This window comes from Homo sapiens, chromosome 11 (genome assembly GCF_000001405.40).
Source record: "Homo sapiens chromosome 11, GRCh38.p14 Primary Assembly".
Lineage (NCBI taxonomy): Eukaryota > Metazoa > Chordata > Mammalia > Primates > Hominidae > Homo > Homo sapiens.
This window is the reverse complement of record NC_000011.10, coordinates 62,352,850-62,371,828: the sequence shown is the minus strand read 5'-3', so window position 1 is coordinate 62,371,828 and position 18,979 is coordinate 62,352,850. Positions and strand designations below refer to the sequence as shown.

Here is an 18,979-nt window from a genome sequence, read left to right as displayed (position 1 = left end):
GAGCCCGCCACCACGCCCGGCTAATTTTTTTTGTATTTTTAGTAGAGACGGGGTTTCACCGTGTTAGCCAGGATGGTCTGGATCTCCTGACCTTGTGATCTGCCCGCCTCGGCCTCCCAAAGTGCTGGGATTACAAGCCTGAGCCACCACTCCTGGCCTTGTTTAGGCACTTATTTTCGACCAATCAAGTCCCAGTTGGTTGCCCCCAAAATCAAAAGCTCCCCTTTGCACTTTGTGAGGAAGTCCCTGTGGCCTTCCGCAGTGTATTGTGTCCCTGGGTACTTGAGATTAGAGAATGGTGATGACTTTTACCAAGCATACTGCCTTCAAGCGCTTTTTTAACAAAGCACAGCCTGCACAGCCCTAAATCCATTAAACCTTGAGTAAACACAGCACGTCTCAAGTTTGACGTGCTTCTTGGTGTGCTCGGGTTCGGCGACCACCACAGCCGCACCGCCCACCTTGCCTGCTGCCACAGGCTGCGCCGCGCGCTTGCCCCTGCCGGGGGCCCCGTCGAGCTCCAGGCCGTCCTCGTCGCCGCTGCTGCTGCTGCCACCACTGCTGCTACTGCAGCGCTCGGGAGGCTCGCGCTTCCGGCTGCGGGGCCGCCACGTTTCCTGGGCCCTGGCGTGGGCAGTGCCGTTGCCCGAGCTCAGCTCCTCCCAGGCCGCCACCGCCGCCTTCTTCCTGGGCATGGTTGCGGCTGGTTGGAGTGATGAGAAACCAGAGAGAAAAAAGGAAGAGAAGCAACTAAAAGACGGATCGGAGGGCTTTTTTTTTTTTCCTGGCCCAGACGAGGGCTCCAGCCCACTCAGATACACTTAAAAATGCGCCAGGATGTTTAATGCTGCAATCCAAAATTGGTTGGTAGCAGTACCTACTGTCAGTACCACCAGTAGACTTACTTATCACATGGTAAACAGAATGTCACACAGGCCACAGGTAAATTATTTACAGGACTTTCCTTATCAAAGATCATTAAAATTTAGGCCTAAAGGAAAACCTTGCCCCACGGAAATTCCCAAAGGATCAAAAGACACAGAAGTTTTAGTTTGGGAAGAATGTGTGGCCAATAGTGCGGTGATATTACAAAATGATGAATTCAGAACTATTACAGATTGGGCACCTTGAGGTCAATGCTACCACAATTGCACAGGACAAACTCAATTGTGTCCCAGTGCACAAGTGAGTCCAGCTGTTAATAGTGACTTAACAGAAAGTTTAGACAAACAGAAGCACATAAAATTACAGTCTTTCTACCCTTGGGAATGGGGAGAAAAAGGAATCTCTACTCCAAGACCAGAAATATTAAGTCCTGTTTCTGGTCCTGAACATCCAGAATTATGGAGGCTTACTGTGGCCTCATACTGCATTAGAATTTGGTCTGGAAATCAAACTACAGAAACAAGAGATCGTAAGCCATTTTATACTATCGACCTAAATTCCAGTCTAACAGTTCCTTTGCAAAGTTGTGTAAAGCCCTCTTATATGCTAGTGTTAGGAAATATAGTTATTAAACCAGACTCCCAAACTATAACCTGCGAAAACTGCAGATTGTTTACTTGCATTGATTCGACTTTTAATTGGCAACACCATATTCTGCTAGTGAGAGCAAGAGAAGGCGTGTGGATCCCTGTGTCCATGGACCGACTGTGGGAGGCCTCACCATCCATCCATATTTTGACTGAAGTACTAAAAGCCATCTTAAATAGAGCCAAAAAATTCAATTTTACTTTAATTGCAGTGACTATGGGATTAATTGCAGTCACAGCTACGGCCGCTGTGGCAGGAGTTGCATTGTACTCTTCTGTTCAGACAGTAAACTTTGTTAACCATTGGCACAATAATTCTACAAGATTGTGGAATTCACAATCTGGTATTGATAAAAAATTGGCAAATCAAATTAATGATCTTAGACAAACTGTCATTTGGATGGAAGATAGGCTCATGAGCTTAGAACATCGTTTCCAGTTACAGTGTGACTGGAATACGTCGGACTTTTGTATTACACCCCGAGTTTATAATGAGTCTGAGCATCACTGGGACATGGTTAGACGCCACCCACAGGGAAGAGAAGATAATCTCACTTTAGACATTTCCAAATTAAAAGAGCAAATGTTCAAAGCATCAAAAGCCCATTTAAATTTGGTACCAGGAACTGAGGCAATCAGCAGTTCCTGATGGTCTCACAAATCTTAACCCTGTCACTTGGGTTAAGACCATCGGAAGTACTATTATTGTAAATTTCATATTAATCCTTGCATGCCTGTTCTGTCTGTTGCTAGTCTGCAGGTGTACCCAGCAGCTCCGAAGAGACAGCGACCGTCAAGAACGAGCCATGATGATGATGGCAGTTTTGTCAAAAAGAAAAGGGTTATGTGGGGAAAAGAGAGATCAGACTGTTACTGTGTCTATGTAGAAAGAAGTAGACATAAGAGACTCCATTTTGTTCTGTACTAAGAAATATTCTTCTGCCTTGAGATGCTGTTAATCTGTAACCCTAGCCCCAACCCTGTGTCGCAGAGACATGTGCTGTGTTGACTCAAGGTTTAATGGATTTATGGCTATACAGGATGTACTTTGTTAAAAAAAAGTGCTTGAAGGCAGTATGCTTGTTAAAAGTCATCACCATTCTCTAATCTCAACTACCCAGGGACACAATACACTGCGGAAAGCCACAGGGACCTCTGCCTAGCAAAGCCAGATATTGTCCAGGGTTTCTCCCCATGTGATAGCCTGAGATATGGCCTCGTGGGAAGGGAAAGACCTGACCGTCCCCCAGCCTGACACCCGTAAAGGGTCTGTGCTGAGGAGGATTAGTAAAAGAGGAAGGCCTCTTTGCAGTTGTAATAAGAGGAAGGCATCTGTCTCCTGCTCATCCCTGGGCAATGGAATGTCTCGGGTGTAAAACCCGATTGTATGTTCTATTTACTGAGATAGGAGAAAACAGCCTTAGGGCTAGAGCTGAGATGTGCTAGTGGCAATACTGCTCTTTAATGCACCAAGATGTTTGTATACGTGCACATCAAGGCACAGCACCTTTTCTTAACCTTGTTTATGACACAGAGACCTTTGCTCACGTTTTCCTGCTGACCCTCTCCCCACTATTACCCTATTGTCCTGCCACATCCCCCTCTCCGAGATGGCAGAGATAATGATCAATAAATACTGAGGGAACTCAGAGACCAGTGCCAGAGTGGGTCCTCCGTACGCTGAGCGCCGGTCCCCTGGGCCCACTTTTCTTCTATACTTTGTCTCTGTGTCTCTTTCTTTTCTCTGTCTCTCGTCCCACCTGACGAGAAACACCCACAGGTGTGGAGGGGCAGGCCACCCCTTCAATCATTTCACAGTATCTACTGGAACTGATCATATGCACATTCCATGACTCAGCAATTATACACCTGTGTATCTGTCCATCAGAAATGTGGACAGGTGTTCACCAAAAAAGCATACACAAGTGTTCACAGCAGCAGTAGGTGTAAAACAGTAGTCCCCCCTTATTTGAAGGGGATACGCTCCAAGACCCTCAGTGGATGCCTGAAACCTCAGCTAGCACTGACCTCAACACTGTTTTCGCCTATACTGTATGTACATACCTATGATAAGGTTTAATTGATAAATTAGGCACAGTAAGAGATTAACAATAATAAAATAATACAATTAAAACAATATACTGTAGTAAAAGTTATGTGAATGTGGTCTCTTTCTCAAAACATCAGACCGCGGTTGAGTGTGGGTAACTGAAAGCACAGAAAGTGAAACCGCAGATAGGGGGAGCTACTGTAACCCTAAACTGGTTACAGTCTCAAACTCCTGACCTCAAGTAATCCACCTGCCAGAAAAAAAAAATTAAAAATTTTTAAATTTATTTTTATTTGTTTATTTTTGAGACGGAGTCTCGCTCTGTTGCCCAGGCTGGAGTGCAGTGGCATGATCTCGGCTCACTGCAACCTCTGCCTCGTGGGTTCAAGCTATTCTCCTGCCTCAGCCTCCCAAGTAGCTGGGACTAAAGGCGTGTGCCACCATGCCCAGCTAGTTTTTGTATTTTTAGTAGAGATGGGATTTTACTATGTTGGCCAGGCTGGTCTCGAACTCCTGACCTTGTGATCCACCCACCTCGGCCTCCCAAAGTGCTGGAATTACAGGTGTGAGCCACTGCACCTGGCCTATTTTATTTCACTTTTGAGATGGAGTTTTGCTCTTGTTGCCCAGGCTGGAGTGCAATGGTGTGATCTCAGCTCACCGCAACCTCCACCTCCTGGGTGCAAGTGATTCTCCTGCCTCAGCCTCCCAAGTAGCTGGAATTACAGGCATGCGCCACCACGCCCAACTCATTTTGTATTTTTAGTAGAGACAGGGTTTCACCATGTTGGTCAACTGGTCTCAAACTCCTGACCTCAAGTAATCCACCCACCTCAGCCTCCCAAACTGCTGGGATTACAGGTGTGAACCACTGCGCCTAGCCCTAAAATCTCTCTCTTTTTTTTTTTTGAGACAGAGTTTCACTCTGTCGCCCAGGCTGGAGTGCAGTGGCGTGATCTCGGCTCACTGCAAGCTCCTCCTCCCGGGTTCATGCCATTCTCCTGCCTCAGCCTCCCGAGCAGCTGGGACTACAGGTACCTACCACCATGCCCGGCTAATTTTTTGCATTTTTAGTAGAGATGCGGTTTCACCGTGTTAGCCAGGATGGTCTTGATCTCCTGACCTCGTAATCCACCCGCCTCAGCCTCCCAAGTAGTTGGGATTACAGGCATGCGCCACCATGCCCGACTAATTTTGTATTTTTAGTAGAGACGGGGTTTCACCATGTTGGTCAGACTGGTCTCAAACTCCTGGGCTCAAGTGATCCACCCGCCTCAGCCTCCCAAGCTGCTGGGATTACAGGCGTGAGGCACCGTGCCTGGCCCTAAAATCTTTTATACGGCAAAAATACCATAGCAAAAGCAAAATAAAAACAGCAGATTTGGGTTTTTAAATTTTATTTACAGCAGAACATAACCTTAAGGCTCATAAGAAAGAGCCAGGTACAGTGGCTTGTACCTGTAGTTCCTGCTACTCAAGAGGATGAGGTAGGAGGACCACTTGAGCTCAGGAGCTCAAGGCCAGCCTGAGCAACATAGAGAAATCCCATCTATCTATAAAGAATGTTAAAAAAGTAAAAGAAAAAACAATGAGACTGATAAGAAAGGGAAAAAATAATTCAAAGGAAAAAATGAGTGTAGGACAAAACTAGGCAAATTTGTAAAAAGGAAAAACCCATAAACAAATGTAAAATGCTCAAACTCACTGTCAGGGAAGAGCAAATTAAAGTAACAGTGTTACCCTTTACCTGTTAGATAAGGAAGGAGGGTTCTCCCAGTCCCTGCTGGTGGCAGGCCCACCTCTAACATTTGCAAGGGGCCATGGCAACAATACAAATACAACTGGAGGCCCACATACCATATATTTAATATTGGGAAGTTATAAGTATGTTCTATCCTGTTACTGTGGTAAATGTATCTTGAAAAATCGGTATTTTTCTTGTATATATGTTTCACTGTATATAAGGTGAACTTTTTTTTTTTTTTTTGAGACAGTCTTGCTCTGTGGCGCAGGCTGGAGTGCAGTCGTGTGATCTCGGCTCACTGCAACTTCCATCTCCCAGGTTCAAGTGATTCTCCTGCCTCAGCCTCCTGAGTAGCTGGGATTATGGGCATGCACCACCACTCCCGGCTAATTTTTTGTCTTTCAGTAGAGACGGGGTTTCACCATGTTGGCCCCAGGGTGGTCTTCAACTCCTGAGCTCGGGCAGTCTGCCTGTCTTGGCCTCCCAAAGTTCTAGGATTACAGGCATAAGCCACCACACCCAGCCATGAATGTTTTGATATACATAGTGAAATTATGATTACAGTCAACTAGAATAACATACCTATCATCTCACAATTACCTTTCTTTATTTTTTGTGGTAAGAGTACCTAAAATCTACTTTTTAAATTTTTTTGAGATGGAGTCTTGCTCTTTCGCCCAAGCTGAAATGCAGTGGTGCCATCTCAGCTCACAGCAGCCTCTGCCTCCTGGGTTTAAGGAATTCTCTGCTTCAGCCTCTCAAATAGCTGAGATTACAGGTGCGTGCCACCACACCCAGCTAATTTTTCTGTATTTTTAGTAGAGATGAAGTTTCACCATCTTGGCCAGGCTGGTCTTGAACTCCTGACCTCGTGATCCGCCTGTCTTGGCCTCCCAAAGTGCTGGGATTACAGGTGTGAGCCACCGCACCCAGCCTTTTTTTTGTTTTTGAGACGGAGTCTTGCACTGTTGCCCAGGCTGGAGTGCAGTGGCGTGATCTTGGCTCACTGCAACCTCTGCCTCCCAGGTTCAAGTGATTCCCCTGCCTCAGCCTCACGAGTAGCTGGGATTACAGGCGCCCACCACCATGCCCAGCTAATTTTTGTATATTTAGTAGAAGTGGGGTTTCACCATGTTGGCCAGGCTGGTTTCAAACTCCTGATCTCAGGTGATCTGCCCACCTTGGCCTCCCAAAGTGCTGGGATTAGAGGCATGAGCCACTGCATCTGGCCTCTAAAATCTCCTCTTAGCAAATTTCCAGTACACAATATTATTAGCTATAGTCCTAATATTATACTTCTCCAGACATACGCATGCTACATAACAGTAATTTTGTACCCTCTGGCTTACACCTTCCCATTTCTCCCACTCCTGGTAACTACCATTCCATTCATTGTTTCTATGTATTCAATGTTTCTTTCTTTTTTTTTTTTTTTGAGATGGAGTTTTGCTTGTCACCCAGGCTGCAGTGCAACAGCGTGGTCTCGGCTCACTGCAACCTCTGCCTCCTAGGTTCAAGCGATTCCACTGCCTCAGCCTTCCAAGTAGCTAGGATTACAGGCACCCACCACCACGCCCAGCTAATTTTTATATTTTTAGTAGATACGGGGTTTCGCCATGTTGGCCAGGCTGGTCTTGAACTCCTGACCTCAGGTGATCTGCCCGCCTCAGCCTCCCAAAGTGCTGAGATTACAGGCGTGAGCCACCACCACTCCCAGCCTCAATGTTTCTTTTTGTTTTAGATTCCATATTTAAGTGAGATCATGTAGTATCTTTCTGTGACTGGCTTATTTCACTTAGTATCAAGTTGCTGCAAATGGCAGGATCTCCTCCTTTTCCTACCAAGGAATTATATTCCACTGTATATATACATTATACTTTATCCATTCTTCATTGATGGACAGACACTGTAGTTGTTTCAATATCCTGGCTATTTTGAATAATGCTGCAATGAACATGGAAGTGCAGATATCTTTACTAAATGGTGATTTCATTTCCTTTGGGTATATGCCTAGAAGTGGGATTGCTGGGTTATAAGGTAGTTCTATTTTTAATTTCTTTAGGAACCTCCATACTATTTTATCTAGAAAAATATTAAAAAGCTATGGTTTTCACATGACTGAAAGTTGACAAACTACCAGTGACGACTTAACTTAGTTATTATTGTGTATACCAGGGTCATTTGTTAATCGGCTGGTGATGGCAGATGAATGGCAAACACACACACATACACGCACACATGCACGCGCACACACACACATTTAATAAATTATGTATTTATTCCATAAAAATATTTTTTCTTGGCTTCATTCCAGCGAGTACTGATTTTTTTTTTTTTTTTTTTTGAGACGGACTCTTACCCTGTCACCCAGGCTGGAGTGCAGTGGTGTGATCTCAGCTCACTGCAACCTCCGCCTCCTGGGTTCTAGCAATTCTCCTGCCTCAGCCTCCCGAGAAGCTGGGACTACAGGTGCACACTGCCACGCCTGGCTGATTTTTTGTATTTTTTAGTAGAGACGTGGTTTCACCATGTTGCCCAGGCTGGTTGTGAACTCCTGAGCTCAGGCAATCCACCCACCTCGGCCTCCCAAAGTGCTAGGATTACAGGCGTGAACCACTAAGCCCGGCCTGATGATGTTCTTATACTTAACGTGACTTCTATTGACAAAATGGCAAAAAAGACAATCTTTCTTGAGTCAACATAGTTTTTAGCAAGTTTTTAATTAATTTTAATTTAGAGAAGCTTCCTTCTGCTGAAGCAGCAGCAACTGGAATTACCAACAAAATTCTCAAAGCAGTACTTAGATTTAGAAATGAATACTGATTTTTACATGATCACACTCAAATACTATATGGATTTATATATAAATTGTGATTGCAGAGTGCATTAAAATTTTTAACTTGATCATATAAATCACAATCACTTATAGTCTTTTTATAATCTTTTAAACAGTATCTAGGTCTATGCAGATAAATTCTTTTAGGTTTTGATGCTGGTATATTCTGAAGAAAATCAAAAACAGGAGAATGTTATTCAATTTTGTTCAAATCTCTCTTCAGATGATACTATGCTCTGATTTATACTGAACTGAAAAATAGTTTCTATAGAAACTGGTTTAGGGATTATCTCTCTATGAATTTTCTTCAAGCTAGGTAAATATTTTTGTTCCCTTGTTTCAATTTCCCTGGATTTTGTTGGAACATCATTTTTGTTGTATATCTCACATGCAGTTTTGATTTTGTTTCTATAAACTTAAAAAAAATTTAAATCGGCCAGGCATGGTGGTTCACGCCTGTAATCCCAGCACTTTGGGAGGCTGAGGTGGGCAGATCATCAGGTCAGGAGATTGAGACCATCCTGGCTAACATGGTGAAACCCCGTCTCTACTAAAAATACAAAAAATTAGCCGGGCGTGGTGGCGGGCGCCTGTAGTCCCAGCTACTCGGGAGGCTGAGGCAGGAGAATGGCATGCAGGAGAATGGCGTGAACCCTGGAGGCGGAGCTTGCAGTAAGCCGAGATTGTGCTACTGCACTCCAGCCTGGGTGACACAGCAAGACTCTGTCTCAAAAAAAAAAAAAAAAAAAAAAAAAAAAAAAAAAAAAAAAAAAAATTAAATCCTTTAAAGGTGAAGTAGCCACATATATATATTTATATGGATGTGTGTGTGTGTGTGTGTGTGTGTGTGTGTATGTCAGATAAGCAAGTAGATACTCCCAGAAAAAAAATTTAAATTTATATATATAAATTTATATATATAATATATATTATATTTTATATATAACATATAATATATTTTATATAATATATAATATATATTTTATATAATATATATTATATATTTTATATAATATATATTATATATTATATATATTTTATATAATATATAATATATATTTTATATAATATATATTATATATTTTATATAATATATATTATATAAATAATATATGTTATATATTTTATATAATATATATTATATAAATAATATATGTTATATATTTTATATAATATATATTATATATATTTTATATAATATATATATATTTTTGGTTACAGTTTTGTTAAATTTATTAATAGAAATCAGATTTATACTAAATAATACAAGTTCAAAATTAATTTCACTTTTTGTTAAAGTCCATGATTTGCTCTTTGAAGACTTTTTATGGTTTTGCTGAATTCTTCTTATCTAAATTCAATTTAATTACTTCAACAGCATTTCGTTGGTATTCTCATCGTGCACCTGAGACTTGTTATAGGGTGAAATATAAGTTTAGTCAAGATATTCCATCTTTGGGCATATCTAGAAGACACTGCATTTATTCCCTCTATTGTTCCAAAGCACTACCATTAGTGGCACAGTGGAGGTCATGCATCCTAGAAACAAATTTCAAATGATGGGCTGTATATGTCACATAGTATGCTTCTGGATTCTTAGCCAAGCTTCTTGCTTGTACATCTCTCATTTACCAACCACATTTGCTCCATTATCACAGGCTTGCCTTCAACAATCCTTGAAATTAGTGTCTAAAACAGAAAGTTTTCTTTCAATTCTTCACTTAATTCAAAAATCACACTTTAAGGAGGAGATATAAAGCCAATGAAACATGGAATGATTTAGGCTTGTTTTTCTTCAAGCAGTAATGGTCCACTCATGGTACTATCAGTACCACGGTACACTCTAGTTGAACTGAGTAACTATTTTATTAAAAAACTTTGGGCTGGGCACAGTGGCTCACGCCTGTAATCCCAGTACTTTAGGGGGCTGAGGCAGGCAGATCACGAGGTCAGGAGTTTGAGACCAGCCTGGCCAACATGGTGAAACCCCCTCTCTACTAAAAATACAAAAATTAGCCGGGCATGGTGGCATGCGCCTGTAGTCCCAGCTACTCGGGAGGCTGAGGCAGAAGAATCTCTTGAACCTGGGAGGCGGAGGTTGCAGTGAGCCGAGATTGTACCACTGCACTCCAGCCTGTTGACAGAACAAGATTCTGTCTCAAAAAAAAAAAAAAAAAAAAAAAAATTGGCCAGGTTTGGTGGCTCACCAAAGCACTTTGGAAGGCCAAGCAGGAGGGAAGATCCCTTGAGCTCAGGAGCTTAAGACGAGCCTGGGCAACATGGCAAGACCCCGTCTCTACTAAAAATAAAATTAGCCAGGCATGGTGCATGCCTGTAGTCCCACCTACTTGGGAGGCTGAGATGGGAGGATCACTTGAGCCTGGGAGATTGAGGCTGCAGTGAGCTACGACTGTAACACTGCACTCGAGCCTGGGTGACAAAGTAAGACCTTGTCTCAAAAAAACAAAAAAACAAAACCCCACAAAACCAAAAAATTTATTGACAAAAAAATTTTTACAAATGATTTCATGTCTCACTTTATTCTCCATTAAACTCATAATCTGTTGGAATTCTCTATCCTAGGTAATGATCATTACTTTCATTATTTTTGTCTTAATTATATGTTTGGCATTTTACCAAATTTTGAAATCTCTTTTACTGAAACCTAGAAAATTTCCATTGTTTTTTGCACACACTGTACTGACGGTGTCATGAAAAGAATGATTAGGCTTGGCTAAATATTGGATACATTGTATTATTCTTTCAAGAACATTACATCAGTATTTTATATTGTTTTCTGTTTCCGGTAAAATCAATTGTTTATTCGGCCTCTTTCCCTCAATTCCTGTAACAGGGTGTGTGTTTTATTGTGTGTGATTCTTCATGATTAGCAATTAAATCTTCCGTTAGTAAAGAAGGAGGTTGCCATGATTTCATCTGACTTGTTCAAACTGTGGATTTGGTGAGAATAATTTTCTTACTAATTTTAATTGTTTTGATTAATAAGTAGATCTTAATTGAACAAAACCTTTGTAATGTCTTGTTTGTGAATTTTATGTGGGTCACCCTGGAAGAAGACTGCTTGCTTTTACTGCTTCCAGTGTTGGAAAATGCAAGCAGCCTGCTTCTTTGAAGATTTTTACTTTCTTTTTCATTTTTTCTTTTGTGAGCTCCACTTTATAGCATTCTTTTTCTACCAAAATCTTGACTTATACTCATTTTCAATAATCTAAGGGATTAAAAGTGAAATATAATTATATCCAAAGTATAAAAAAATGAGAATGTATTTTCATAAAAAAATAAAGAGCTAATCTAAAAAAATTAAAAAAAAAAAAAGTTGGCCGGGCATGGTGGCTCATACCTATAATCCTAGCACTTTGGGAGGCCGAGGTGGGCGGATCACCTGAGGTCAGGAGTTCGAGACCAGTCTGGCCAACATGGTGAAACCCTCTCTCTACTAAAAATACAAAAATTACCCAGGCGTGGTGGCGCACACCTGTAATACCAGCTACTCAGGAGGCTGAGGAGAACTGCTAGAACCTGGGAGGCAGAGGTTGCAGTAAGCCGAGATCGTGCCACTGCACTCCAGCCTGGGCAACACAGTGTGACTCTGTCTCAAAAACAAACAAAACCAAAAAAAAAAAAAAGAAAAGCAAAAAACAAAAAAAAGAAGTAATTTGCAGATATAATTTCCAAAAAGTTACAAAAGTAATTGTAAAATATACAAAATTTTTATTAATGTTAAAGTTAAAATATGAATTATAATTAGTAAATACAATACATAAAGGCTAAAATTACATGAAAGCTAAAAATTTTACCACTGTATTTTTGAAATTAACTGCATCTTTTAAATATTTTCATCAAAATAAAACCATTCATAATTCTAACAGTCAACATCCATGTAGTTGCTAACACGGAGAGTTAGCAACTACAGGAGCTTTTTGTTTTTCTCTGTTATCAGTTTTTCTCACACAGGTTCTGTCTAGACCTGTGCTGTGCACTTACAGAAGCTGCAGCTCCATGTGGCTACTGAGTGGCTGCTAGCTAAATGTGGCTGTCCTCAGTGAGATGTACTGTAAGTGTAAAACACACCAGATTTTGAAGATTTAGTACAAAAAAAGAGCAAGACATCTTATAATTTCTTATATGCATTACATGTTGAAATATTTTGGATATATTTGGTTAAATAAAATATATTATTAATTTCACTTTTTTTTTTTGAGACAAAGTTTCGCTCTTGTTGCCCAGGCTGGAGTGCAATGGCGCGATCTTGGCTCACTGCAACCTCTGCCTCCTGGGTTCAAGCGATTCTCCTGCCTCAGTCTTCTGAGTAGCTGGGATTACAGGTGCCCACCACCATGCCTGGCTGATTTTTGTATTTTTAGTAGAGACAGGGCTCACCATGTTAGTCAGGCTGGTCTTGAACTCCTGACCTCAGATGTGATCCACTGTGGATGTGGCCACTAGAAAATGTCAAATTACATTTGTGGCTCTCACAGTATTTCTACTGGATGGTGCTGTTCTAGACCTACCCATACACAAACTGAAGAGTAACAGTCCCCATGTGCAACTTCTACAGACACTACACTAACTCATGAAAATCTTCAGAGTCCAGAGTGCTAACCATTACACCACAGAACCCTCTCTGTAACAATCTTCAGAACTAAATATTCCAACATGCAGAGAGGCAAGAAAATGGATACCTAGCACTACAGGGAAATAATACTTTGTGATGCAAGAATCTATTTCATCAGTTAATTAATTTGTCTTTTTCTCTTACCTAAGTCCTTCTGCTGTTCGAATCTTCCCCACACTCCAAAGCAATGTCCATTTCTGATGTCAACAGTGGCACTACCCACAAACTTTGAACTCAGGTGCCTTTTGCTTCCAAGACATAGAGCAACGGATGTGGAGATTTCCTTGATGGCTGAGTGGTGTTAGTCACAAGAGCAATGATTGGGGTTACTGGTCAAGCTGTGCCAATGTTGAGTGACAAAGGGGTCCTATGTGTTCTGGAATAAGTCAATTGTTTTGTGTGTTTATGGTATGAGGGTCCTTTAAAGTGCAGGGACCATGGCAGGAACCCCTCTTGCTTACGTGTAAAGCAGCAGTGGCTGGTGGAGAGGTGTTAATAAATTTCTGGAAAGCAATGTGGTGACATCTTTCAAAATGAACGTAAATCATGCATAAGGCAACCCCACTGCTATGACTCTAGCCCACAGACACAAAAGCACACTCAGTCAGGCTGTCAACAGCTGCCAACATAAGGTCAATCTTTTTTTTTTTTTTTTTTTTCTGAGACGGAGTCTCGCTTTGTTGCCCAGGCTAGAGTGCAATGGTGGGATCTTGGCTCACCGCAACCTCTGCCTCCCGGGTTCAAGCGATTCTCCTGCCTCAGCCTCCCGAGTAGCTGGGATTACAGGCACGCACCATCATGCCTGGCTAATTTTTTGTATCTTTAGTAGAGACGGGGTTTCACCGTGTTGCCTAGGCTGGTCTTGAACTCCTGAGCTGAGGCAATCCGTCCGCCTCGGCCTCCCAAAGTGCTGGGATTACAGGTGTGAGCCACCGCACCCGGCCAAGGCCAATCTTTTAAAACAGACTCTGAACCTGAGGAACACATCAGAATTACCTGGGAACCCTTTTTATAATATACCTGTCTGGCTTCTCCACCTCAGATCTATTTAAATCTGATTCTTCTGGCGGGGTGGCCTAAACATGCATATTTTGAAAAAGCTCCCTAGGTGATACAAGGTATACCTCTGATTAAATATCATTACTCTAAAAAGTATGCGGAGTCAATAGATTTAATTCCATTATAAACTCCCAGGCCATATTCACATTTTACTTTCAAATTTTGCTTTAAATAAGCAGTCCTTTATTTAGGATTTCAAAATCTGTAACAGAAAACTGTAATTCAGAAAATGACTAATTTGAATTTCTAAGAGTTGTGCTGATTTCTCTAAACTATGAAAGAGTACTTAAGTTTATAAGGTACACTAGATCACAGATAACCTGTTTAGTCTATTTAAGATAAACTGATCAAGAAGAATCCAGATAACTGATACATTAATACGTGAAATTCTTCTACTAAATCATGTCAGAGGCTGGGCTCGGTGGCTCATGCCTGTAATCCCTGCACTTTGGGAGGCCGAGGCAGGTGGATCACCTGACGTCAGGAGTTTGAGACCAGCCTGGCCAACACGGCGAAACCCCGCCTCTACTAAAAAAAAAAAAAAAAAAAAAAAAATGAGCCGGGTGCAGTGGTGTGTGCCTGTAGTCCCAGCTACTCAGGAGGCTGAGGCAGGAGAACCGCTTGAGCCTGGGAGGCGGAGGCTGCAGTGAGCCGAGATCGCACCACTGTACTCCAGTCTGGGCAACAGAGAGAGACTCCGTGTCAAACAAAACAAAACAAAACAAAACAAAACAAAACAAAACAAAAGAACTGTAGATAACCAGGTATTTGCCAAACTTTCATATTTTAATAACTCCCAAATAATGCGAGCCACAGGTAAGACTTACTTTTGACAATCTGTTTTCTGAGCACCTTTTTCATGCTTCTCTTTTTCCAGGCGCTTTTTGTTTCTCTCTGTCACCAGTTTTTCTCCAGGAATCTCTGGAACCCCCATAGCTGCTGCAAACTGCGCTGCGCCTTGGTCAGTCAGAAAGCAATGAGGTGTCTGAGCCAGAAAGAAAAGAGAAAATGATTGTTTTTTTGAAAATTTTAAATCTTTTTAACTGTTCCAACTGTGTTGAAATAATTACTTCTCTCTGGGTGCAAAGGATCAAAAATACAAATTCCAGTGGTTTGCTTTTCTGTATGCTGAAAAAAGCCTGACTGAGTTTTTGTATTAAAAAAGAAAAGACCCCAATTGATGGGACATTACTAGAGATGCGATTTACATATACGTTAAATTTAGAGAACTCAATCCATCTTTAACACATGCTATTAAATAGCTGGTCTGGTCAGTTTGTATGTGGTGTGAAGAAAATACAGGAAGATAAAGTAATCATTCACTGGTCAAGTGATTCCTAGTCAAAAATCATGGCTGATTTGAGAAACTCAAATACATTGCATCTGTTTTGTATATATTTTTAGGAGAACAGTGATCTCAAGTATTTCTGCACAGTTGGAGCCCTTATCACTGCAGTATAACAATAACAATTCATTAGGAAAAGGCTGCTTTAGTCACATATACCTTTTCCATGACAAGCCGAGCAAGTTTAATGGGATTTGCTATACACTGGACTGCGGACACTGCTCCTGCAGACAGGTCTTTTCCATCCATGATACTAGCATCCATTTCAACCTCACCATTTGTGTTCAAGACAGACCCACAACCTAAAACCAAAAAGAAGTTGAAAAGCAAGAATTAAGAATTTACGCCCCGTCCGGGAGGGAGGTGGGGGGGTCAGCCCCCCGCCCGGCCAGCCGCCCCATCCGGGAGGTGAGGGGCGCCTCTGCCCGGCTGCCCCTACTGGGAAGTGAGGAGCCCCTCTGCCCCGCCACCACCCTGTCTGGGAGGTGTACCCAACAGCTCATTGAGAACGGGCCATGATGACAATGGCGGTTTTGTGGAATAGAAAGGGGGGAAAGGTGGGGAAAAGATTGAGAAGTCGGATGGTTGCCGTGTCTGTGTAGAAGGAAGTAGACATGGGAGACTTTTCATCTTGTTCTGTACTAAGAAAAATTCTTCTGCCTTGGGATCCTGTTGATCTGTGACCTTACCCCCAACCCTGTGCTCTCTGAAACATGTGCTGTGTCCACTCAGGGTTGAATGGATTAAGGGCGGTGCAAGATGTGCTTTGTTAAACAAATGCTCGAAGGCAGCATGCTCGTTAAGAGTCATCACCACTCCCTAATCTCAAGTACCCAGGGACACAAACACTGCGGAAGGCCGCAGGGTCCTCTGCCTAGGAAAACCAGAGACCTTTGTTCACTTGTTTATCTGCTGACCTTCCCTCCACTATTGTCCTATGACCCTGCCAAATCCCCCTCTGCGAGAAACACCCAAGAATGATCAATGAAAAAAAAAAAAAAAAAGAATTTAGAAATGGCTCCAGATTTTCCTCTAATTTGCCCCCTTTAATCCATCCTCTATTCCATTGCCAGAGGAACATTTTTTTTCAAGAGAGAAATCTTGGCCGGGCACAGCGGCTTATGCCTGTAATTCCAGCACTTTGGGAGGCCGAGGCGGGCAGATCATGAGGTCAGGAGATCGAGATCATCCTGGCTAACATGTGAAACCCCGTCTCTACTAAAAATCCAAAAAATTAGCCAGGCATGGTGGCCCGCACCTGTAGTCACAGCTACTCGGGAGGCTGAGGCAGGAAAATTGCTTGAACTTGGGAGGCGGAGGTTGCCGTGAGCCGAGATTGCACCACTGCACTCCAGCCTGGGCGACAGAGCGAGACTTCATCTCAAAAAAAAAAGAGAGAAATCTTGACTTGGAGGCTGTGTGTGGTGGCTCACGCCTGTAATCCCAGCACTTTGGGAGGCCGAGGCGGATCACTCGAGGTCAGAAGTTTGAGACCAGCTTGGCCAACATGGTGAAACCCTGTCTCTACTAAAAATATAAAAACTAGCCAGGCGTGGTGGTGCGTGCCTGTAATCCCAGCTACTTGGGAGGCTGAGGCAGGAGAATCACTTGAACCCGGGAGGCGGAGGTTGCCATGAGCCAAGGGTGACAGAGTGAGACTCCGTTTCAAAAAAAAAAATAAAAGAAATCTGACTTGGCACTCCATGACCTACAAAATAAAAAAGTACAAAGCCCTTCCTAACCTGGCCTTTGACCTGCTTTTCCAGCTTCATTTTCTTTCCTTGGCTATATTTTACTGAAATAAGGTTTCCCTGAAGATAGTAGTCCCCTTATCCACAGCCTTGCTTCTGAGGTTTCAGTTATCCTCAGTCAACCATGGCCCCAAATTATTAAATGGAAAATTCCAGAAATAAACACTTCTAGCATCATCCCACTCTGTCCTTCAGAGGGACGTGATTCCTCCCTTTCTCCAGCATATCCACACTGTATAGGTTACCTGCCTGTTAGTCACTTAGCAGCCGTCTCGAATACCAAGCAGATCAGCTGCAGTAGCACCTCTCAGTGCTTGTGTTCAAGAAACCCTTATTTTACTTAATAATGGTCTCGAAGCACAAGAGTAGTGATGCTGGCATACTGTTATAATTGTTCTCTTTTATTATCAGTTATTGTTATTAATTTCTTACTGCGGCTAATTAATATATTAAACTTTATCATATGTATGTATGAAAAAAAAACCAGCCGATATAAGGTTGAGTACCATTGGTGGTTTCAGGCACTCACTGGGGGTTTGAAACACATCCCCCATAGATAACGGAGGGCTACTGTATACTAGGAGCCCACGTGTCTCTGTGCCTTTGCACATGCTGTTGTTTTTACCACTAGCACCCTTTCTCTATATTTCTCTGCCCAGATAATGCCTACAAATCTAGCTATGCTTCTCAATCTCTTTGTGCTTGTTTCTTCATGTGTAAAATGGGTAAGAACATCAACCCATTTAATCCTTACAACCATCAATGAGGTAGGTATTGCATATTAAACACTTAGAATAATGTCTAGCATGTGTAGGCAAACAGTAAGTGTTTGCTGCCCTGATTACATGCCAGTTTAACAGGTGGGGAAACCAGAAAAGCAACTTTCCCAATATCAAATGTCTTCTGGGTAAAGAGCAAGGAATCAAATCCAGGTGTGTGGCTTAGACATCTACTTTCTTCTGCCAAAGAAGCTCACATCTTTTCCATCTGGCAATAACAAGGCATCCCTTTACACTGATCAGCGCAGGTTAGAGAAGACCTGATAAAAGATTTATATAAATAATATCCAAAGTCTTAAAACATAATATGCAAAATGTCTAGAATACAACAGAAAGTCACTCATCATATGAAGAACCAAGAACATCTCAACCTAAGGAAAAAGAATTAACAGATGACAATACCAAGATGACACAGATGTTGGAATTACCTGACAGGAATTTTAAAGCAGCCATTGGCCAGGCATGGTGGCTCATACCTGTGCTTTGTAATCCCAGCACTTTGGGAGGCTGAGGCAAGAGGATCTCTTGAGGCCTAGTTCAAGACCAACCTGGACAACACAGCAAGACCCCATCTCTTAAAAAAAAATTAGCTGGGCATAGTAGCACACACCCAAAGGCCTAGCTACTTGGGAGGCTGAGGCAAGAGGATCACTTGAGCCAGGGGTTTGAGGTTGCAGTAAGCTGTGATCACACCACCGTACTCCAGCCTGGGTGACAGACTAAGACCCTGTCCCTTTAAAAAAAAAAAAAAAAGCATCATAAAAATGCTTCAATGAACTTGAAATAACTAAAAAAATTATAAAGTTTCAGCAAAGAAATATAAGATGTAAAGAAAAACCAAATGGAAGTTAGAGCTGAAAAATATAATAATCAAAATAAGAAATCTCAATGGATGGGCTTAACAGCAGAACAGACAAGACAGAAGAATTACTGGACTAAGAAATCACTCAGTCTGAACAACAGAACAGGGCCTGGAAAAAACCAAAATGAACAGAGCCCAGCCAACCAGTGGGACCATAACAAAAGAGCTAACATTCAAGTCATCAGACTCCTAGATGGGAGGAGAAAATGGGTGGGAATGAGAAGTATTCAAAAAAATAATGCCTGAAAATTCCTTGTATTTGGCAAAAAGCATAAATCTACCAATTTAAGAAGGTGAGCAAGCCCTAAATAGGACTAAACACAAAGACATTCACACTAAGACACATCATAACCAAACCACCGCAAACTAAAGACAAAAAAACATT

General features: G+C 42.0%; 1 protein-coding gene and 1 long non-coding RNA gene across 7 annotated transcripts in view, besides 4 other annotated features; one reads left to right on the top strand and one right to left on the bottom strand.

Annotated features, from left to right (window-relative positions):
• The window catches only part of ASRGL1 (asparaginase and isoaspartyl peptidase 1), a 63,984-nt gene that overhangs the window by 29,603 nt on the left and 15,402 nt on the right, over window positions 1–18,979 (bottom strand). For all 6 annotated transcript variants that reach the window (XM_011545265.4, NM_001083926.2, NM_025080.4 and 3 more), the window contains exons 3-4: window positions 15,362–15,504; window positions 14,685–14,842 (exon numbers count right to left, since the gene is read on the bottom strand). In XM_011545265.4, coding sequence (XP_011543567.1) covers window positions 14,685–14,842; window positions 15,362–15,504 — 301 coding nt within the window. The remainder of the gene's footprint in view (window positions 1–14,684; window positions 14,843–15,361; window positions 15,505–18,979) is intronic.
• Window positions 72–594: an enhancer, noted in NCBI's record as "H3K27ac-H3K4me1 hESC enhancer chr11:62138707-62139229 (GRCh37/hg19 assembly coordinates)". NCBI's record gives its function as "activates a minimal SCP1, AML or CMV promoter by ChIP-STARR-seq in primed H9 embryonic stem cells {active_cell/tissue: H9 hESC(primed)}" and the evidence as "EXISTENCE:reporter gene assay evidence [ECO:0000049][PMID:30033119]".
• Window positions 595–1,117: an enhancer, noted in NCBI's record as "H3K27ac-H3K4me1 hESC enhancer chr11:62138184-62138706 (GRCh37/hg19 assembly coordinates)". NCBI's record gives its function as "activates a minimal SCP1, AML or CMV promoter by ChIP-STARR-seq in primed H9 embryonic stem cells {active_cell/tissue: H9 hESC(primed)}" and the evidence as "EXISTENCE:reporter gene assay evidence [ECO:0000049][PMID:30033119]".
• Window positions 10,898–13,312, top strand: LOC124902682 (uncharacterized). Its single transcript, XR_007062698.1, has 2 exons — window positions 10,898–11,124; window positions 12,948–13,312. It is a non-coding gene; the product is annotated as an uncharacterized LOC124902682 (long non-coding RNA).
• Window positions 15,037–15,763: an enhancer, noted in NCBI's record as "NANOG-H3K27ac-H3K4me1 hESC enhancer chr11:62123538-62124264 (GRCh37/hg19 assembly coordinates)". NCBI's record gives its function as "activates a minimal SCP1, AML or CMV promoter by ChIP-STARR-seq in naive H9 embryonic stem cells {active_cell/tissue: H9 hESC(naive)}" and the evidence as "EXISTENCE:reporter gene assay evidence [ECO:0000049][PMID:30033119]".
• Window positions 15,764–16,490: an enhancer, noted in NCBI's record as "NANOG-H3K27ac-H3K4me1 hESC enhancer chr11:62122811-62123537 (GRCh37/hg19 assembly coordinates)". NCBI's record gives its function as "activates a minimal SCP1, AML or CMV promoter by ChIP-STARR-seq in naive H9 embryonic stem cells {active_cell/tissue: H9 hESC(naive)}" and the evidence as "EXISTENCE:reporter gene assay evidence [ECO:0000049][PMID:30033119]".